Source organism: Homo sapiens, chromosome 22, assembly GCF_000001405.40.
Source record: "Homo sapiens chromosome 22, GRCh38.p14 Primary Assembly".
NCBI classification, from domain to species: domain Eukaryota; kingdom Metazoa; phylum Chordata; class Mammalia; order Primates; family Hominidae; genus Homo; species Homo sapiens.
Window position 1 is genome coordinate 43688076 of NC_000022.11, and position 23672 is coordinate 43711747.

The window sequence follows — 23672 nt, forward strand, 5'->3', positions numbered from 1 at the left end:
TAAAATTGGAGAGCTTTTCCTAGCTGCAGCCATCAAAAGACATGAGGACAGAAGGGCAGAAGTGTGACGCTGGTGGCTTTGAAAGACAGAGGAAGGGGCTGTGAACCAACAAATGCAGGTGGCCTCTAGAAGCCTCTAGAAAAAGCAAATGAATTTGCCCCCAGATTCCCCAGAAGGAAAAAAGCCCTGCTGATTCCTTGATTCTAGCCCAGTGGACCCATGTTGGGCTTCTAACCTACCAAACATGAAGATAATACATGTGTTGTTATAAGCCACTAGGCTCGTGTACTTTGTTATGGCAGCAATAGAAAGTTAGTATAGATTTAAAGTCTTAGCAAGAATAATTGGAAAATTGTTCAAAAAACACATTTCCAAAGTGAATATGGTCCCATGACTCAGAGTCCAATAATTTCAGAGTTATAAGATTCCTGTGGGAGCAACCTGATGTGAGCATGGGTTTCAGAAAGACCAGAGTACCTGCTCCTGCACTTCCTACTGATGTGACCTCAGACTCGCTGCTCACTATGCTGATTCTGTATTCCTCTCATCTGTAACATGAGAATAATACCACCTCCTAGGAGGGTTGTGATAAGGATTAGAGCTAATAGGTCAAAAAGCCTCGGTTGCAGGCTGGAAAACCAGCAAGCATTCTATCACATACACTGACCTGTGTCACAAACACCTTCTGTGACTTACACACTAAACCATGCCTATCCTTCCCTAACAGGATGGCAAAAAGTAGTTTGGGCTGAGTTCCTTAGATAATTGATGTGAGATCTCAAAGTGGGCATGAAACAGACTGCCCTGTTTTGATTGCTAAAAATTAATGGCTGACAGCGAACTGGTTAGACAAACAAATTCTTTATCTACATCTAGGGTATTAAAAAATTCAGATAATAGAGGATAAAAGAGTGAATTCTGGGAGAAAATCTTTTGGTATGCTTGAGTCCCAACCCCACCACAAAAGAGAGAGTGAAGGATGCCTACTCCTCACCTGAAGCCTTGTTCCACTCAGGGAGCTTGATTCCTGTCACCTGCAATTGGGGGTGGGATGTATCAGTGCCTGACTCCCAGCTAGAAACCTTGCAGGTGAGAGATGAGCTGGCTAGCCATTGAGAACAAAAAATTTTGCGGGGGGGCGCAGGGCCGGAGGCAGGGGGTTGGTTGGATGGCTTGCTCTATCAGAGTCATCAGGAAAATAACTGCTGAGAGTTTCATGGGGATCAGACGTGAGCCACGCGAGGGAGAGTGGGCCACGTGAGGGAGAGCACGTGCACACACACACACACACACACACACACACAGCAGCATCTTCGTCTTTGCCCAAGAAAGCCACCTGGAGAAATGAACAGGCCTTAATAGAGAAGGCTTGCTTTCTCTCTTCCCAGATTCCCAGGGGCTGAGAAGGAAATAGGCAATCAGCGGGGCTAGAGATGCATCTGCCTTCATCAAATGTGAAATCCAAAACCCATCAACAGCGCTCATGAAAGCAAACACCTTTGAACGCTTGATCGGCCCCAAGAACACAGCTTCAAGCTCATGGCAGTGCCAGTCAAATGAGAACTTTCAGCCTCCCCTTTTGTTCCTCTCCTTCCTCTGTGCATTTCAATTCCTAGAGGAGGCCGAAACTTAGTTTACAAAATGAGGAAAGAAGAGAAGTGCAAAGTGGGAAAGGGAGAAGCTGCCATCATGCCACCTCTACTCGTGCCTGTAACAGGCCCTAACAGGGAGGAAATGCAATTCATGTTTCAATCAAGCTTACATGTTTGATGGCTGTGTGAGACTGGAAGTTGCATGACTAAATTAAGTCTCTTTCTATGATCCAAGACAAACCTGGAAAAGCAAGATCTGCTCACGTTTTTATCCAGGGGCAAAAGAACTAATCCAATTGAGTAAATTTAAAGGGGCAGTGGGAAACAAAATTAAGTAGCTGTAAGATGACAGCCCATGAGTCTGCCCAGTTCAACTTAGGTTACATATCCACCCAGCCAGATATCCACCCATTCACACATCCACATATATACCAAGCTTCACTTAAATTATTGCAATAATCTCCTGATGGGTCTTCTTGTACCTACTCTTGCCTTCCTCCAATGTATTTCCATACCTCTACCAGCCTGATCTTTTAAAAATGTAAATCCGGGCTGGGCGCGGTGGCTCACGCCTGTAATCCCAGCACTTTGGGAGGCGGAGGCAGGCGGATCACGAGGTCAGGAGATCGAGACCATCCTGGCTAATAGGGTGAAACCCCGTCTCTACTAAAAATACAAAAAAAAAAAAAAAAAAAAAAATTAGCCGGGCATGGTGGCGGGTGCCTGTAATCCCAGCTACTCAGGAGGCTGAGGCAGGAGAATGGCGTGAACCCAGGAGGCGGAGCCTGCAGTGAGCCGAGATCATGCCACTGCACTCCAGCCTGGGCGACAGAGCAAGACTCCGTCTCAGAAAAAAAAAAAAAAATGCAAATCCGACCAGATTACTCTCTTGCTTAAAATCTTTCCATGACTCCCCACTGCTCTTAGGATAGAAACGACACTCCTTCTGAAACGTACAAGCCTGCAATGGTGTGGCCCTGCTCACCTCCCTAGCCTCACCCCATGGCATGCTCCCCGGGCTCTCTTAGCTCCAGCCACATTGGTCTCTCCGTTCTTCCAAAGAGCTGTACTCTTCCCTGCCCTCGGTCCCTTCTGCTTGTTGCTTCCTTTGCCAACTGCCATGTCGCCCATCATTACCTACTTCCCATAGTTTCCTAGCTAATTCTACTCCTCTTTCAGGTCTCAATGCAATAACTGTTTCTTCAAGGAAGCCTTCCCTAATTTCCATAGCCAGTGCTGTTTTCCCTATTAGACTTTCATTACACTATGTATCCTTCCATTATAGCACTTATTATTTAAATATTATTATTATTATTACAGCATCTAATACTTCTATAGCATTTTTGCTATGATTATGATTATGGCAGCTAATACTTGATAAATGCCTCTTTCTATTTCTGCTGCTAGCACTGTGGACATGATCATGAGAAAGAGAGACGGAGACTGATTAATTGATTTTGTTAGGCACACATGGCCACGTCTAAACAAGTAGAACATGACTTTGGCTTCATGTACTACTATTCACATAAATTCTCTTTTCATTTTTCTGACTCAAATTTGAGTCTTTCTTCACCAAAATTTGCCAATTACTTTGATATAGTTTGTCAATATTATATATGTTCATCTTAAATTTCAGCAAATTGAAAATTAACTTTTTATAATGGAAACTATAGCTGCTATGAAAAATAAAATCAGCTTCTATATATTATGTTTAGGAAATCGCCTCGCTCTTTGGGGAAAATATCAAAGGAGATCTTCACTTAGTATTACATACTAAAATAAATTTAAAAGAGATTAAGAAGTTAAATGTAAAAACTATGACTACAAAAAAAGTAGAAAAAAATCTAGGCATGCGCTTATCTGGTACTTGAATAAGAATGAATTTTTAAGCAAAACTTAAGAAATCTCAAACTTACCTATTTAATTACATCAAAATATAAGATTTTTGTATACCATAAACAAAAACAAAATTTAAAAGCCAAACAACAGATTAATAAAATTATAAATATATGCAATAAATTGTTAAAATTCTTAAAGCATAAAGTGCTTATACAAATTAATAAGAAAATACTAAAATTTGACTTCTTCCAATAATGGTAAAATAAGATCCTACTGGCCCAACCCTCCTCCAGATAATCACGATAAAATCTGGACATAATTATCAAGAGCAGCTATTTGAAAGTACTGTGACCAGAGCAGGCAAAGTCTTGTGGGTAATCCATGCTAACAGGAGAACTGTGGGGGTGTGGTATTTTCAATGCTTTCAGCCTCGGATGAGGCACTGCAGCATGAGGGGTGGCAGGAACATCAGTTAAAAAAAATAATAATAAGTAGCCTTTATGGCCTGGAAAACTAGAAGACTAATCCCAGCCAAAAGAGAGAAAGAAGAAATCCTGGAAGAGAAACAGCCAGAGAGGGATCCCCAAATTCTATCTAACTCACCAAAATTCTTACTGGCTCCTGAACCTCTCCTGCTCAGAATATATACTCAAAATAGCTTAGCTAAACACAAAAGATCTGAACTGAGATCAGAGCTGCCACCCAAGAAACAGAGTATGCAGTTTGAATCCAACAAGATAACTGACTACTAAAATAACAGAAAGAACATTCATTAGAAAAAAATAACTGAATTTAGAGTCTCCACAATTTAACATTCCAAATGTCCAGAATATATTACAAAAATATAGCACATAAGAACAACCAGAAAAAATTGAACTCATACTAAAGAGAAGTGAAAATCAACTGAGATAACCCAAATATTGGCATTAACATGCAGGATTTTAAAAGCAATGATTACAACTATCTTCAGTAAAATAAATAAAAATATTCCCACAATAAATCAAAGGATAGGACATCTCAGCAGAGAAACAGATACAATAAAAAGAACTAATGGAAATTCTAGAAAAGAAAAATATACTATTTGAAATAAAAAATTTACTGAATAGACTTAACAAAAGAATAGAGAAGATAGAGAAAAGAGTGAGTGAACTTAAATATAGACCAACTGAACCCAACCAATATGAAGACTACAGAATACACATATATTTATCAAATGAGTAGACTTAAAAACATGTTATATAATACTAGATGGTCTGACATATATGTACTTGGAGTCACAGAAGGAGAGGAGAGAGAATGGGACAGAAAAAAATATTTGAAGAAATAAAGGCCAAAATTTTCCCAAGTTTGATTAAAGATATACATTTACAGATTTAAGATACACAACAAACATCAAGCATGATATACATGAAAAAGGCCTTGCCAAGGTACATCATAGCTACAAAGCTGAAAGTCAAATTCAAAGGGTAGGTCTCAAATGCAATAAGAGAAAAGTGACTCATTAGGTACAGGAAGATGCCAATTTAAGAGATGACATTTCATTCAAAACAACAGAAGTGGAAAGATGTGGAACAATGTCATAAAGTGCCAAAAGAAAGCAAAAAGTTACTCGAAGATTTTTAAAAGGTAGAGATTATCAGAATAGATTTCTTTATAAAACAAGATCCAAATTTATGCAGTCACAAGAGAGACACATTAATGTAAAGACCCGGATAGGCTGAAAGTAAAAGGACACTACCTGGAGCCATGTGATCAAGGTCAACATCAACAGTGACAAGTCATGTTGACTCTATGTACCTTCAATATGCTGTGATGAGAATGGCACTTTACCTGTATGGTCTTTCTCCCCAGAACACATTACTCCAGTCTAATCAGCCAAATTGCAACTGAGGAACATTCTTTAAAATATTTAACCAGCAATCATCAAAACTTGCAAGGTCATCAAAAAACAAGGAAATCTTAAGTAACTGTCATACTCAAGAGGACACTAAGGACACGTGATGATTACTAAGTGCTATGGGGCATCCTAGATGATATCCTGGAACAGAAAATAAAAATCATGGGAAAACTGAGGAAATATAAATCAATTACAGACTTTAATAATAACGTATCAATATTAGTTCATTAATTGTGAAAAAGGTACCATACTAATGAAAGATAATAATAGGAAAACTGGGGCAGAGTATACTGAAATTCTCTGTACTGTCTTTACAATAGTTCTTTAAATTTAAAACTGTCCTAAAATAGTTATTTTAAAAAAGAATAATGAAGAAATATTATAAATAGCATTATGCCAATACATTTGACAATTAAGATAAAATGGATAACTCAAATACTGGATCAACACACAGGATTTTAAAAGCAATGTTTATAACTATCCTCAATGAAATAAATAAAAATATGCCCAAAATAAATCGAAAGACAGGAAATCTCAGTAGAGAAAATGGATACAATAAAAAGAACTAAATGGAAATTCTAGAAGAGAAAAATACTATCTGAAATAAAAAATTTACTGAATAGGCTTAACAAAAGAATGGAGAGGACAGAGAAAAGAGTGAGTGACTTAAATATTGATCAACTGAACCCAACCAATATGAAGAATACAGAATATACATATATTTATAAAATGAATAGACTTAAAAACATGTTATATAATACTAGATGGTCTGATACATATGTACTTGGAGTCACAGAAAGAGAGGAGAGAAAGAATGGGAAAAACATTTGTTGAAAAACACAAATTACCAAAATGACCCAAGAAGAAAGAGAAAACTCAAATAATTCTATATTAACTTTCTCAAACTAATTTACGATTTAAAATATTCCCTCAAACTAACTCCAGGCCTAAATGGCTTCTCAGGTGAATTCTATCAAACATTTAAAGAATATAAATAACACCAGGCAGAAAGCAGAGTTCAGGAAGGAAACATTTCCCAACACATGTCCCAAGGTCACTGTTACTCTGATCCCAAACTGAGACAAAGATTTTACAAGAAAAGGCAATGTTAGACAAACATCACTCATTTAAAAAGATGAAACAAAATTCTTAACAAAATTTAACAAATAGACTCAGGTAACATATGAAAAGTATAATAATGTATTATCACTAAGTGAGGTTTACTCCTAGGATGCAAGGTTGGCTTAACATTTGAAAATCAAGCAATGTAACTTACCATAGTAATAGAATAATGGAGAAAAACTACATGCTCATTAGGATAGACACAGAAAAACCACTTGACAGAATTCAACATACTTGATAAACACTTTCAGCAAACAAGTAATAGAAAATTCCTTAAACTAATAAAGGACATCAACAACAGCAACAACAAAAACAATCCATTGCTAATATCACACTCAATGGTGTAAAATGGAACGCTTTCTACCTAAGATCAGGAATAAAGCAGGAATGTCTAATATCACCATTTCTGTTCAACATTATACTTAACACTCTAGCCAGTCCTGGCCAGTAAAACTGCCTAGATAGTAAAATTGTCATAGCCAGTAAAATAAGGCTAGAAAACAAAATAAGAGGCATACAGATTGGGAAGAAAGATGCAAGCTTGCTTTTATTTTTAGGTGACATGACTGTACTTACAAGAAATCTACAACAAAAGGTCTAGAACTAATTAACCAGTGAATTTAATAAAGTCATGATATTCAAAGTCAATATACAAACATCAATTGTATTTCTGATTAATAGCCATAAATCGTTGGAAAATGAAATTTTAAAAAATTCCATGTACAGTTTCATCAAAAAACAAAAACACTTAGGAATAAATTTTAGATATTATATGCAAGATCCGAACATTGTAAACAATAAAACTTTGACTAGGAAAATTAAAGACAATTAAATAAGTGGAAAGTAGCATGTTTATGGAGTGGAAAACAATATTGTTAAAGTGGCAAATGGCAATACTTTTTAATGTATTTATAATATAAATCCTAGCAGGCTTTCAAAAACATATACTGACAAACTGATTTTAACATGACTATATAGAAAGACAAAGAACCTAGAATAGTCAAATGATTTTGAAATAGAAAAACAAGTTTGGAGGACTCATACAATCTAATTTCAAGACTTAACTCTTTAGCTACAGTAATCAAGAAACCACAGTACTGATGCGAGAATAGACCGACAGAGACTAAGGAATCCAGAAATATACTCACACTTATATGGTTAGTTAATTTTCAACAAACGTGCAAAGTAATTCATTGGAGAAGGGGCTGCCTTTTCAACAAATGGTGCTGGAACAATTGGATATCTGTATGGAAACAGAATTAACCTTGACCCTTATCTCACACCATATACAAAAACTAGAAATGAATCCAAATGTAAAAGCTAAAATGACTAAACTTCTAGTGGAAAACACAGGATTAAATCTTTGTGATACTAGGTTAGGCAAAGATTTCTGAGAATAGACACCCCCAAAATATTACCCATAAAATTTTGTAAATGGACTGTCTCAAAATTAAAAATGTTTATATTTCAGAAGAAAGAGCTAAGAAAATGAAAGAGCAAGCCACACTGAGGGAAAATATCTGAAAACATATATCTGATAAAATGCTTATACTCAGAGTATATAAAGAACTCTTACAAATCAGCAATAGGAAAATAACCTGATAAAAATGGAAAAATGATTTGTACCATTACTTAACAAAAGAATATATATGAATGGCCAATAATCACATAAAAAGAGGATCAATATCATTTCATCATCAGGAAAATGCAAATTTAAAACAGACTGAGATACCTCTACACACCTCTAGAATGGCTAAAATAAGATGGCAATAGCAAGTGTTGGTGAGAATGTGCCACATCTGGAATTGTTACATACTGCTGGTGGAATTGCAAGATGGTAGTCACTTTGAAAAACAGTTACATAGTATCACAAATTTAAACATACACTCACCATGCAATCCACCAATTTTACTATTAGACATGTACTCACAAGAAATGAAAACATGTCCACACAAAGACTTGTATATGAATGGTCATAGCAGTATCTTCTGTAATTACCCCAAACTGAAAACAACCCATGCATGTGTCTATCAACTGGTGAGCGTATAAACAAATTGTGATATATCAATACTAAGCAATATGACTCAGCAATGAAAATTAATGGGATGTTGAGATATGCAACAACATGGATCAATCTTTAAAACATGGTAAGTCAAAGTGGTCAAACACAAAAGACTACCACTGTATGACTCCATTTATGAGAACACTTAGAAAAGGTAAATCTATAGTGACAGTGACAGAGAGCAAGTCAATGGTTGCCGGAGGTGGGGGTCACGGGAGGGGATTAATTACACAGGGCAAATGTAAAATTATAGGGCTATGAAGTGTTTTAAATCTTGACTGCAGTAGTGGTTACATAAACAATTGCGAAACTCAATTAAAATATACACTTAAAAATGAATTTATAATTTATACCTCTATAAAGCTAGGACCAAAATTTTTAGACATAGAAAATGGACAAAGGACATAAACAATTGTTTACAGAGGAAGTACAGGAAACTTTCAAATGCAAAAAATATGCAACCTCAATATAAATCAAGGACATGTAAATCAAAACACAATGAGAAGCTGTGCTTTCGCCTACCAAATCAGCCAGGGTGTTTAAATGGCAGTGTTCAATGCTGGCAAGAAGTATTCCTGTGAACTTCCAGCTTAAGAATAAATTAACACCTTTCTGAAGTGCATTTTAGCATTACCTAACGTAAACCTTAAAAATCTTCAAACCCTTTGACTTGAGAGTTAACAAAACATCATGGAGCCATTAAAAATTAATTTCAAAGGTTTCTTTAATGACATGAAAAATGCTCCTGATATAATATTCTATGAGAAAACAGAATGTAATCTATACCTCATATGGTCTCAACTATGTTAAGTATGTATGTGACTGTGTGTACATACACGCACAAAAGAAATTCTGGAAGGAAATATATCAAAATATTAATAGTAGCTATCTCTGGCTATTACATTTATGGTAGTTCTTTTTTTTCCTTTATAGTTTCCTTTATTGTCCAGTTTCCATGGCTTTTATAATCAGCATAAATAAACATAATTTTCAAAAATAAAAAATCAGCAGGTAATTTTGCTAAAAAACACATGAATAACCATCCTTAACCAAAGTCACAAAGATAACAGCTGATTATTTTGCTCCTAAAAGTGTCCCAGGGGCTCCTTTTATTGTCTCAGGCAGCAAGCAGCTATCCCTCTGGATTCCGACATGGGGAACCAAGTATCATTCCCAGTCCCTCTTTCCCATCCTATGAATCCAAGTAGAGACATCGTAGCATGTGACTTCACGTACAGAGAGGGCAGAAGAAACATACAGACTTGTCACACTGTTCCCAAAGAGCCTCTAATCCATTCGACAGATGGATAGTGTCAGAAGAGGCAGCAAAGGGTGACAGAGGCAAAGGGACTGATCATATCGGTCATAGGGACCCATGGGAATTCATGGTCTTTTGCCCAGGTCATAGACGCAGAGCCCCTTAACTGAGGGGGACTCTGGATACCTTTGAAGAACACCCTGCAATATAGCCATAGGTACATGCTGAGTCAGCTTCCCCAGAAAACTGCTGCTTGTTCATGGGCTTTCAGGGTGGCAGAAATGGAGACAGTGTGTTGGTTTGAAAACATGAACTTCCTGTCACTAAAGCTGAGCTGGCACTGCTCTGCCAAGTATCCAACCGGTCAACAGCAGAGGCCAACACTGAGCCCTCAGCCCAGTCCCTTTCTCTGGGTGGACTTTGCAGACAGCTGGTAAAGATTACACTGGATCCCTGCCATCATGGAGGGGGCAAGAGTAAAATTCAAGATTTGTGGGGATTTGTGTACATACACATCCCAGATTCAAATCGGGCTTCCTTGTCTGAAATGCTTCTGCCCATTACTGTCATTTGTGGAGCCCCGGGATGCTGTATCCATCACCAAGATATCCCATGCAATATAGCCTTTATCCAAGGAGCTCATTTGTTGAGTGAAGAAGGTGTGGCAATGGTCTCAGACCCACAAAATTCAATTGTCTTACCACATACCCCATATCACCCAGCATAGGTGACATCATAGAATGGTTGAATACTTTGCTGATGACTCCATTACAGAGTTGGCTAAGAGGAAATGTCCTGTGAAGTTAGGGTGCTGTGCTTCAGGATGCATTATATGCCTTAACCCAGCTGTGGTGGCCCAATAAAGAGAACCCCAAGGACTGAGTTCCCTGAGGAAAGGTGGGTAACTCACCAGGTGAACAATGCTGCCCAGCAAAGATGCTGACAGAGAAAGGGAGACATAGAATGGGAAGTGGAGGAAGGGCATTTACAATTATCACTCTAGATCTCATGACTAGCTACAATTATGTGAGTTTTAGCAGCTCAATTGTATGTGGTTTCTCTTTTTCTATTCCCTCCATTGCCTTATACAAAAAGCACTGGTTAAAAGAACATTTTAGATTCTGGGTAGAGGCATAACAGGATTGACATCTCCCTGGAATAATATGGCAGCTGGCAGGACTTTGAGTAACTCCTCTTTTGAGAACACAAGGTTTTCACCCCTAAAAGGATGCTGAGGCTCGGAGGGATTGACTGCACTGGATATTCTTTGTCTGTTCATCTAGATCCACTTTCTGCTCTTATCAACTCTGCATGACACGCAGGTGGGTTGCTTTAACTGGACTCTCATGCTCCTGGCTTTTGGCTGGTTTTGGGCAGTGTGAGGCACCAGCAGAAGGTTGGAAGGTGAGAGGAGAAAGAAGTGAACTATTTATTCCCTCAGTTCCTGCCCTGCTGGGCAGCAGCTTGGCAATAGTCATGTTCTTCTCCCTAAGACCTCATCCCCTGAGGGCAACCCTGTCCTCGTTCATTTCAGTAACTGCTCCCTTTCTTGCCCCCTCAGGCCTAGGAGGGATCCTGGCTTCCCCCTGTTCGTATCCCTGAGATGCTTCCTCAACTACTGGCCTTACTTGAACCTGCCTTCGCTTGGGTAAAAGATCCTTTAATAAACTCACATCAGTCACTCTTTTTAGTGTGCCATCTGTTTTCTGCCTGGACTCTGACCAATGTAATGTTCAAGTTAAGAAGACCATGATAAGCATACAGAATGATTCCATCACCCCCAAGACCTCCCCATGTTTCTCCTCGGGAGTCACACCCTCGCCTAACCCATAGCCCTGTTAACCACTGATATTTTCTCCTTTTCCAAAATGTCATATAAGTAGAAGAGATCCTAAACACGTGGGTTACCACGGTTTCAATAATAACTGAAAATATAACCCAGAGTTTTGCTTCTACACTTCATATAATTTAGACTAAATGGCTTATTTTTTCTGTTTGTATAGCTTCTGCCACGCTACTATTGTTACCAGCGTGAATGGGAACATTCTTAACAGGAGAATGTGAGTGAAGACCTGCTCACATGATGGAAGGACGATGTATGATCTCCGGCGAATACGCAAGTTACAAGTTATAGCATTCATTTATTTCATCATCTCAACTCTTCCTTAAACCTCATCATATTTAAACACAGGTTTTATTTTTAACAGATTTATTTTATAGGAAAAGCTAGGCAACATTGAAACGCACACCATGTTAGTCAAAGGGTCGAGTTAGCAGTTCAATTAAAGTCTACCCTTTTATTAAGAAAATACTACACACATGCACATACACACACACAGAAAACAGCTTTTTAAAGTCTAAAATATTATTTCGATCTAGATTTTTATGTCTTATTACCAAGCTGTTAGGGTTTAAAATTTAAGCCCTAGATATTGTATATTTTAGAAATATCAAGCTCAAAAAGATATCTGTTTTTTGTACTATCCATTATTAAATTGGATGGTAAGAATAGGCACTCTCAAATCATTTTGTTAGGCATAAGATTTTAGATTTTATTTTACTTCCTTCTTTACTCTTTCTTGCATTATTTGCTTTTAGGAAAAAAAACCCATAGCGTATATTTAAATTGTACTTCTTAAGTTAAAATGCAGTAAGCCTGACTTTTTCTCTTGGTGTACAGTTGTATGAGTTTAACACATGCGTAGATTCATGCAGATTCCCACACTCGGGAGACAGAATGACAGAACGGTCCCCTCGTGCTGCACCTGTGGAGACTCACCTTCCCTCACTTCCAACCCTGGCAAATCACTGGCCTTTTATCCATTCTTATTGTTTTGCCTTTTCCGGAATGTCTTGCAAATAGAATCCTACTGTAGCAACCTTGAGACTGGTTTCTTTCACTTAGCACAATGTCTTTGATGAGATTCATCCATGTTGTGCATATCAACATGGCTTATTCCTTTTTATTGATGAGAAATATTTCATTGCATATATTTACCAGTTTGTTTATTAATTCATCCGCTGAGTTACATTTGAGTTTTTTCCAGTTTCAAGTGATCATGAAGAGAGCTACTATAAATATTTGTGCATGGGTTTTTAAATGAACTCTTAAATATTTTTTAAAATACAAAACATATGAAATTTAATAAAAGATAAATAAAAGAGTCTATCTCAATAAAAGATAGCCTCGTCCTGGTAAATCAACAAAATATGAAACCTAAATCTGGAAGATGAATGAATGTTTTTTGTGATCCTCTGAGTGCAAAGGTAGATTTGCTGTCTTCTGGTAATACCAGGTTTTCTGACTCCACCACTTTCTCCCTGGGGCTTGAGAGGGTAGCAAAAGAAAGAGAAACACAGTGCTACCCAGTGGGCCAGGGCAACCCCCAGTACCACTCACTGCACAGCACTATTCCCCTCCTCTAATTCATTGTTCTTAGTCCAATATTTCATGGTAGAATTCAGCAGATTCTTCCTTCTTAGGAGATGACATTATTAGTCATAAGTCCTCAACAATCACCATCTAGACTCAAGAAATAGGTTAAAAACAAATAACTCTGAAAGTATGAGGAACTCAATGTTCTCTGTAAAAATATAAAAGAAAATAAAAAGGCAGTTGGTTGGACCATTGTAGACAGGGCATTGTATAGAAATGCCCATGTACAACAGAAATTTAGATTGATGAAACAGAATAAAAAATACAAATTGGACCAAATTATTGATAAGAATTTAATATATGGCAAAACAGACACTAAAAACAATGGAGGAAATAACATATTATTTAATAAATGATGGTGGGAAAATAGATTATCTATTTGGAAAAATTTTTTTTAATTTGGATACCTGCCTTATATTAGGATAAAGAGTTTTGTTTTAAACAATAAAAAAAAAAAAAAAGCAGAGTCACAGATTTCTTATCAAGCCTGGGTAAGAATGATGAATTTACGGATCTTAAGCAATAAAAGACATTCAGAAGAAGATGCATGTATTTGATTATGTTAAAATGTAAACTTCAAAACAGTGAGGTATCATATAATAAAAGGGAAATAACAGGCTAAGAAAAATAGCTGCAGTACTTATGACAGAAAAGGGTTACCTTTTAATAATTATCTAATTATTTTAAAATATTAAACAAAGAGGTGACAAAATTAAATTAACCAATGGGGGGGATGTGAAGAGAAGAAGAGACCCAGTCAGTGCCCAGGTACATGGGAAGGTCCAGCCTCACACACTACGAGAAACAGAAATTAAAACAATCACAAGGCACTACTTTACACCTCATGAGTTATCAATATTTTAAAACAATGTTAATATTCAATGCTGGGAAGAATATGAAAGTAGAACACTCACACAATGTTGATGGCAATGTGAATCACTACTCTTTTGAGAGAACAATTTGGCAGTCCTTATAAAAAATAATAAAAGGGAGAGGTGAAGTCAGCAAGATGACAGAATTGTCGGTCGCAGGCTCCACTACTCCCTCACAGAAAGTTCAACTAGCAACCATTCACAGACAGGAACACCTTGGTGGAAATGCCCCAAATTGGAAATAGGCCTGAATCACCTGTGTGATTCACAGAACAAAATAAAAACCACATAAAAAGGGTAGAAGAAATGGTCTCATTTTAACCGCATTCCCCTAAGTCGATAAAGTACCACACAGAAAGTGTTTCCCCAGGAACAACAGTTTCTACAGAGGGAAAAGAGAGCTGGAGGTGGACGCCCAGCTTCCTGGCATTCCAAGATGCTTCCCAGGAAGCCCATTCCCATCTCACCTCAAAGGCAACACAGGGAAATGGCATGGCTAGACCATCTGGAGTCAGGTAGAAACAAAGCAAGGAGACAAAGCGGGAGCTCTGTGTACCTGCCAACAGTGGTGCCCAATCAGAGGTACCATCTAACTGCATATCACACCTGCAAAGCTGAGCTAATAACTCCCAGAAATAAAAAGAAGTTCCACTTGGCTTGAATTTATAGATGGCTAGCCTTCAAAACCAGCCTTAGACCCTACCCTGGGGCTTTTAGACATTATCCAAGCAGGAAAATTACCACCACATTGAATTTCAGCAAAGAGCAGAGGCTAGATATGCCATACCCAGTAGTTTAAACAATGTTCAGCCCAGCCTCAAAGCCCACCCCAAGGACCCACATAGGCAGGAAGGCAAACGTGAACTGTGCATTTCTACTAGAGTAAAGTGTCAGCTCCCATCCATCCCTACCAGCAATTCCATCTAACCTTGGGACCCCTCCTGCAACCCTGTCCAACTGTTGAACTGAAATAGCAGTACCACATGGCCAGGAAATCTACTCTGTGGCCCAGCCCAATATAAGGCAACTGTAATGTCCATCCAGCAGCTCAGCCTGATTACTGAGCCCAGCTTGGCTGCCCCACCTGAACTCAGAGCCAACACAGTAGCCCAGCCATCTAGAACACCCAAAAGCAAGCTCTGTCTGCCCATGGTCATTACCAGCTGTCCCATACAGAATCACAAGCTAGACTGAATAATGAATATCTATTTCTGCCAAAGAACACCTGTAAAAGCCAGAAAAGGTGGTTGTCTTTTCAAATGCATGGATACCAACACGATGACAGAAGGGTAACAGACTCAAAAAATCATGACACTTCCAAAATAAACTAACAAAGCTCCAACAATGGACCCTAAAGAAAGGAAGATGTATTAAATGATAGACAAGGAATTCAGAACAATCCTCTTAAAATTCAGTGAGCTACAAGAATAGATAGACTAAAAAATAAAATAAAATTTGGAAAGCAATACATGAAAAAAAATAAAGGTTTGACAAAGAAATAGAAACAATTTTTTTAAAACCCAAATAGAAATCCTAGAGATGAAGAATACAATAACTGAACTGAAAAAAAAAATGCAACCAAAAGCTTCAACAGCATGCTCATTCAAGCTGAAGAAGGAATCAATGAGCTTGAAGATAAAACATTTGAGATGATCCAATCAGAGGAACAAAAGGAAAAAAAGAATAAAAGCAGATGAAGAAAACCTATGGGAATTATGGGACACCATCAAGGGACCTAATATACACATAATAGAAATTCAAGAAGCAGAAGAAAAAAAGCCTAGAAAGCATATTTAAAGAAATAATGACTGAAAACTTCCCTAATTTGGGAAAAGATACCAGTATCCCCAAGTTACAGGAAGCACAGAGGTCTCTAATCAAATTCAACCCAAAGAGGAGGTCGCCAAGACAACATAATAATCAAACTATCAAAAATCAAATACAAAGAAAAAATCCTGAGAGTAGCAAGAGATTAAAAAAACATATCACATACAAAGAGGTCCCAACATGACTATCAGCAGATTTCTCCACAGAAACAGGAGAGAGTGGGATGATATATTCAAAGGGCTAATGGGGAAAAAAACCCTGACAACCGAGAATACTTCACCCAGAAAAACTGTTTTTCAGAGATGATTGAGAAATAAAAACTCTCCCAGACATACAAAAGCTAAGAGAATTCATCACTACTAGGCCTGCCTCACAGGAATTGCTAAAGAGAGTTCTTTAAGTTGAAACAAAAGGCTGCTAATTATTAACATAAAAGTTACAAAAACACAAAACTCAATGGTATAAATATTACGCAGTCATGTTTAGAATACTCTAGGACTGAAATGGTGATGTGTAAAGTGATTGTATCTTCAGTACAAATGTTAAAAGGAATTTAAAAGACAGAACTATTAATAACAACTATAATTAGAATAAATTGTCAAGAAATATATAAGATTATGTAAATTTTGACATCAAAAACATTAAATGAGGGGGATAAAAGTGTAGATGTGCTGTATGCAATCAAAGTTAAGTTGTTATCAGCATAAAGTGGACTATGTAAGTATAAAATTTCTACGCAAGCCTCATGGTAACAACAAAACAAAAATCTATAGTAGATGCACAAAACAAAAATAGAAAGCATACCATTACAGAAAACCATGAAACCACAAAGGAAGATACCAAGAGAGGAAGAAAGAAAGAAAATGCCTACAAAACAACCAGAAAACAATTAACAAAATGGTAGTAATAAGTTCTTCCCTATCAATAATTACTATGGATGTAAATGGATTAAATTCTCCAATAAAAAAGACATAGAGTGACCAACTCTATGCTGCCCACAGGAGACTTGCCTCACTTTTAAGGACATACATAGACTGAAAGTAAAGGGATGAAAAAAGATATTCCATGCAAATGGAAACCAAATGAGAAAGGATAGCTATGCTTATATCGGACAAAATAGATTTTAAGTCAAAAATTGTAAAAAGAAACAAAGGACATTATATAATGATAAAGGGGTCACTTCATCAAGATGATTTAACAATTATAAATTTATATGCACCTAACATAAGAGCACCTAAATATATAAAGCAAATATTAAAGGATCTGAAGGGAAGGTCAGATTGCAATATAATAATAGTAGGGGATTTCAATACCCCACTTTCAATAATGGACAGATCATCCAGATAAAAAATTAATAAGGAAACACTGGACTTGAACAACACTTTAGACCAAGGGGATCTAATAAATATATAGAACATTCTATCTCACAGCAACAGAATATACATTCATCTCAAGCGCAAATGGAACATTCTCCAAATAGATCAGATAATAGGCCACAAGACAAGTCTTAGCACATTTAAGAAGACTGAAATCATACCACGTACCTTTTCTGACCACAATGATCTAAAACTAGAAACCAATAATGGGGAATTTTGAAAGAAAAATCACAAATACATGGAAATTAAACAATATGCTCTTGAACAACCAATAGATAATAAATAACAACAAACAATAAAGAAATTAAAGTGGAAAATTTAAAATATCTTAAGACAAACGAAAGTGGAAGCACAATATACTAAAATATGTGGGATGCAACAAAAGCAATTCTAAGAGGAAAGTTTATACCAATAAATGCCTACACCAAACAAGAAGATCCCAAATGAACAACTGAAACTTATGCCTCAAGGAAATAGAAAAAAAGAGCAAACTAATCCAGTGTCAGCAGAAGGAAAGAAATAATAAAGATCAAAGCAGAAATAAGATACATAGAGACTAGGAAAACAAAAGATCAATGAAGATAAGGGTTGGCTTTTTGAAAAGATAAACAAAATAAACAAATATTTACCTAGACTAAGATAAAAGGAAATGAAAGAGGAGATATTATAATTGATACCACAGAAATACAAAGGATCGTGAGACTATTATGAACAATTATATGCCAAAAAATTGAATAACCTAGAATAAATGAATATAATCTAGACATATACAACCTTCCAAGACTGAATCACGAAGAAACAGAAAATATTTTTTAACTGCCAACTCGGCTCCAGGAACACTGGCTTCTGCCAGGCCCCAGAACATACCACGTGGGGCAGTCCTTGGAGCCAGGGGCCTGCTCCTGGGAGGCTCCTCCCACAGTTCTTCCTGTGGCTGCTTCTCCTGCCTCTCACCTTTTCATAGAAGCCTTTCCAGAAAACTGAATCAGAAGTAGTTCCTCTTTGTTATTCTCCATTGTAGTCCCCTGCTGATTCTTTCCAGAGCACGAATCACATTGCATATTCTAGCTCATTATTCATAGGTTTGCTTTGTGTTGGTCTCCCCCACCAGCAGGCACAGTTCTTTGAGGGCAGCAATCATGTCCTTCTTATTCTCCAATGAGTCTTTGGTATCCAGCACAGTGCCTGGTATATAATAAGTGCTCAAGAATTATTTATTGACTGACTGGGCAAACATATGCAAAATTATAAAGAACCTAAAGGCCCAGATGGCAGACAAACAGTTAAATAGTCTGATGTATAAAGTGCACAAACAATTGATCATGATCCAATCAAACGCAGCTCTTTTAAAAGTGCTGTTTGCTTTCTCTGGATGGAATGGCTTTTTCCAATGTGTCCACGTCAGAAACTCCTATTTAGCCCCCAAAGGTTCATCTCAGTTGTTTACTATAAAAGGCATTGCTAACTTCCCAGCCAGCACGAACACATTAAAGGAGGCCTTTGGCAACACTGGACCTCCTTCCAGCCTGTGGAATAAGTAAATAAGTAAAAAGACTGGAATAAATCTATCAACAAAATGATTTTAAATTCAGAGCTGAAGTGGAAACCAAGAAAGGGAAATCCATAGGTATTAGGAGCAAGGAAAGACCCATGTCAAGGACAGTAAGAACATGAGCTGCTGCAACAAGAGCCCAGGGCTTTATCAAGCCCAGACAGAGCTGTATGTGCTAATAGCAACCCTGAAATCTAGTGTAGGCTCAAAGGGAATGGGGTTTTAATGCACATTTGGGGTTAGAAGACTTGGGATTGTGCAAGACTGGGAGTAGATTTGGCACAGCAGTGAACCAAAATCGATCCTAGAAAAATAGCCAAAATGCAGCCAAGAGATAAAGACATGAAAAATATAAAAGACAGTTTAAGAGACATGAAGAATGAAATGGGAAGACCCAATATTTATGTAATGTAATAGGAGTTCCAGAAGAAAAGACCAGTGAGAATGGGGTGGAGACAATATTCAAAGAATCATAGCTGGGAACGTTCAAAAACTGAAAAATACGAATTCTCAGATTGCAATAGCAGGAGTGTGGGAAGGTTAAATAGACATCTGTACCAAGATACATGGTAGGGAAACTGTAAAGTAACAAAAAGAAAAAAAATCTTAAAAAAGAAATCACCTATAAAGGAATGACAGACAAAGAGCAGAACCTCACAGCAACAGCAGAGGCCAGAAGACCGTGAAGAGTACCTTCGTGGTACTAAAAGGAGATAATTCTCAGACAAGAATTCTGTTCCCTGCTACATTTTCATTAAAGAGTAGGGCAAAATGAAGATATTTTTGAAAACAAAAACTGAACTAAACACTCACAGGACCTTGCTAAACGGACTACCAAAAGATATACCTCAGGAAATTGACTCCAGAAGAAAGGAGAGAGGTTTCTGAGGCAGTAATGAGCAAACAAACTGGTAATCATGGGAAAACCTAAACAGGCATGAGTCATAAAAACAACAGTGATGAATGCAGGTCCCATCAAAACAAGGCAGAAGCAAAGCCCAAGTCAATGACAAAATGGAAGGTGAAGGCGCTTTTTCATTCAAGACAGTAGAAATACTGATTTTTAGACTTTATAAGTTTAGAACACGTGAAAATTTTAAGGAAAACCACTATAAGAATAGAAATAAGATATTTAAGTCTTAAAACAGTGGAAGGGAAAAAAAAGAGTGATAAAGAAAACTAAAAAAAAAAAAAAAAAAAAGAAAGAAAGAAAGTTGGCCAGGCACAGTGGCTCACGCCTGTAATCCCAGTGCTTTGGGAGGCTGAGGTGGGCAGATCACCTGAGGTCAGGAGTTTGAGACCAGCCTGGCCAACATGGCGAAACCCTATCTCTACTGAAAATCAAAAATTAGCTGGGCATGGTGGCGCATGCCTGTAAACCCAGCTACTGGAGAAGCTGAGGCAGGAGAATCGCTTGAACACGGGAGGGAGAGGCTGCGGTGAGCTGAGATCACGCTCCACCTGGGTGACAGAGTGAGACTCTGTCTCAAAAAAAAAGGAAAACTTAGCCAATACCAAACAAGAAAGACGAGGAATAAAGAAAAAAAGAAGAGCAGAAGAAATAATAATACAAAATAAGAGGTAGGGGGAAGAATCCAAACATATTAATCACAATAAATGAAAACAGACTAAACTTGACAGTGAAAAAAGCAAAGATGTTACTCTTGGAATTTTAAAACATATAGATATATGCTATTTAATAAGAAATACCTAAAATATCACAATAAAAGAGTAAAAAGTTGGAAAAAGATATACCTGACAAATACTAATGAAAACTGTTATATTTCAATAGTAGATAAGATAGACCACAAAAGGCATTCATAGGGATAAAAGGGCTATGATATAATAGTAAAGGGAACAGCTGACCAGGAACATATGACAAATCTGTACTTCCAGATATGTGTACCAGGAGAATTGTATATAATACAGCATTTATGATATTAGCACTTGAGTGTTCACTCTGCTATGGTTTCCAGTAACCTATTCCACTGGGAATTTGGGGTGAATGCAAAAAAGAGACTCAGAAATCCCTAGGTCCCTCGCTAGAACAAGTTATAAGAACACCTCAGCCCTGGCCACCCTCAACCCCCAAAACACGCATTCTATGCACCCATCATATTCTTCATAGATATCATCACTCTGGCAAGTCTTTCTAGCTTGGGACAATTTGTTATTTATTTCTTCATTTTTTGGGACAGAGTCGTGCTCTGTTGCCCAGGCTGGGGTGCAGTGGTGCAATCTTAGCTCACTGCAACCTCTGCCTCCTGGGTTCAAGCGATTCTCCTGCCTCAGCCTCCCAAATAGCTGGGATTACAGGCGCCCACCACCATGCCCGGCTAATTTTTGCACTTTTAGTAGAGACAGGGTTTCACCTTGTTGGCCAGGCTGGTCTCGAACTCCTGACCTCAGGTGATCCACCTGCTTTGGCCTCCCAAAATGCTGGAATTACATGCATGAACCACTGCGCCCGGCCTTATTTCTTCATTTTTAGCATCTACCACAATGTCTGATATAGAAAGGCACTCAACAAATGTTAGCTGAATGACATTGTATGCATTCATTACAATTATAATTTTGAAGACTATGAAGCCAACATGAAAAATGTCTATAATATGCATTTCTATTTTAAAAAACACAACATAAAACTGTGATGCACTCTGATTACAAATATGTAAAGATTATATTTGTACGTGAATACAAAAATGGAAGAGAATGTGGAACAATGAAAATAGTAAATTTGTTAGGTAAGGTGGATGGTGACTATCTGCTTTTAATTTTTATTATTGCTATTAAATTATTATTTGCATAATTTTGAAAATGAGATAAGAAGAAATGGCTGCATAAGTTTTAGCGAGGCAAGAAAGTAATTCCTGAAAAATGTCACCATGTGTAGACAGAACAAAAGAGCTGTTTTCTGAGCCATGGAAACATTTACTCCTAGGGCCAAACTTTGCTTTCACTATAAAAGCCACAGCATTCGTACATGGTGATTCTCTCTGGACATATAGGGAGCTGGCAAGGAAAGTGGGGTGCTGTGGGGAATGGAGCCAGCTGCTGTAGCTTCATGCCACATTTTCCATCCCCTTCTCTCATGCCTCTCCTTTCTAGAGAAACCCCAAGGCACCTATCAATTACCCACAGTTTGACAGGACAATCTTTCCATTAGCTTCTACTCTATTTCCCCCCAAAAAAGGTTCTCTGTCTTACCTGGACAGAAAACCAGGTAAAGAGAGTATTCCTAACCTAGATTGTGGTCTACATATACCATTTCAAATTGGAAAGAACAGGGATCCTTGGAGAAATGGCTCATGCCAGGTCCCAGGCAAGGGATGTACAAGAACAACCTGGAACGTTTGTCATACCACAAAGCAAGGAAGCTGTCAAAGACTATCTGGTCACATCAACAGGATGTTGGAGCCAACGTGAAAATGCTCCCACTGGCCAAGATGGAACAAATTGAGTATCAATATAACAGCTGTAATGAATTGAGACACAAATATGCTTAAAGTAATGAGTTCTTAATCATTATTAAGAAAAAATCATTAAGAAAATAACACTGATTGCTCACTTTTGGAGGATGCCAGGGAACCAGCTCATTATTTTGCAAAGTAGGAAATGCAGGGAAAGAATCAAGGCTATCCTGCCTTTCTTATATTAACTGTGTCTTGTTGTCACCAAATAGTTGGAGAGGGGAAGTTGTTATTACAGAAGTCCTCCAACCAGTAAGAGAAGAAGAAATGATAGACACAGAATGTCATCATTTTATAATCTCTAATGAATGGATGGATCTGAGTATGATCAACAATGGTTGATAAGATCACGAAAAGAGAGACAGTCTATATATGTTTGCCACCACCTATGAAGTATTTTTGTCCCCCCCACTCCCCACAAAATGAACATGGGTCTGTACATCTACATCTAACTATCAATTTAGGGTAGGGAGTCAGGGGAGGGAGATAGGGAAACATGTAAAATGACACTGTGGGTTACAAGCAGTCAAATGCAGATTGTAAGAAAGCCCCCATAACAAACAATCCAGATTACTTCTAAAATTAAGAAATGGAGAGGAGGGCTACAGTTCTAAAAAGAATTGTGAAAAATCAACCAGTTGAAACTACAGACTTAATTTGGATCCTGATTTAAATAAATTTAAATTAGAAAACATGAGGCAAGCAGTTAGATTTGAACCTTGACTGGATATTTATTAATATGATTGATAACTCTATTAGATGTGAAAACTGTATTTTCACCTTGTTTCTAAAAAGAGTTCTTATTTTTTAGAGAGAGAGGGAAATATGCTATCTGGTATTTGTTTCAGAAATATCTGGGGTTGAAGAACATGAGCAGGAATACAAATGAAATAATTGGCCAAGATTTGACCATTGTTGAAGCTGGGTAGTGGGTACATTCATGGATTTACTATATTATTCCCTTTACTTCTGTATACGTTTTAAATTTTCAGTAATAAAAAGTCTAAAACATTAATAAAAAATAAACGAAGCTGTGCCTTATTCTTACGGTTGACGTTTGGGGAAAAAAATGTCAAGGAAACAATGAGACTCTTACCTTTTCATTAACTGGATAAAAATTCTTCTTGGTATTTGGTATACAAAAGTGTCGAGGACAATCTTTAGATAATTAAAAGACACGTAGCCACCTTTACAGGGGTCCCCTGCACTGAGGGCCTTTTCAACCTTTTCATAAGACTTCGAAAGCTGCAATAAATTGAAATTAGAGTGTGGCGTTCATAAATATCAACTTCATGGAGCTATTCAACCATTTTATTTTTACCAAAAACCTCTTCAAATTTTTCTCTCCAAAAACTGATCAAAAAGGTTA

At 37.4% G+C, this 23672-nt stretch overlaps 1 protein-coding gene and 1 long non-coding RNA gene across 23 annotated transcripts in view, besides 1 other annotated feature; one reads left to right on the top strand and one right to left on the bottom strand.

Annotated features, from left to right (window-relative positions):
• The window catches only part of EFCAB6 (EF-hand calcium binding domain 6), a 283528-nt gene that overhangs the window by 159298 nt on the left and 100558 nt on the right, over positions 1-23672 (bottom strand). For 21 of the 22 annotated variants that reach the window (XR_007067980.1, XM_047441462.1, XM_011530319.4 and 18 more), the window contains one exon: positions 23400-23548. Coding sequence is in view for 21 of the 22 variants with exons in the window: in XM_047441462.1 (XP_047297418.1) it covers positions 23400-23548 (149 nt within the window). In the remaining variant the exon portion in view is untranslated. Of the gene's footprint in view, positions 1-18235; positions 18429-23399; positions 23549-23672 lie in introns of those variants that run through there. The other variant, XM_011530327.3, reaches the window with a different exon arrangement.
• LOC124905130 (uncharacterized) lies at positions 11010-11898 on the top strand. The gene is made up of 3 exons (XR_007068124.1): positions 11010-11092; positions 11332-11418; positions 11774-11898. It is a non-coding gene; the product is annotated as an uncharacterized LOC124905130 (long non-coding RNA).
• Positions 18038-18703: an enhancer, noted in NCBI's record as "OCT4-NANOG-H3K27ac-H3K4me1 hESC enhancer chr22:44101993-44102658 (GRCh37/hg19 assembly coordinates)". NCBI's record gives its function as "activates a minimal SCP1, AML or CMV promoter by ChIP-STARR-seq in primed H9 embryonic stem cells {active_cell/tissue: H9 hESC(primed)}" and the evidence as "EXISTENCE:reporter gene assay evidence [ECO:0000049][PMID:30033119]".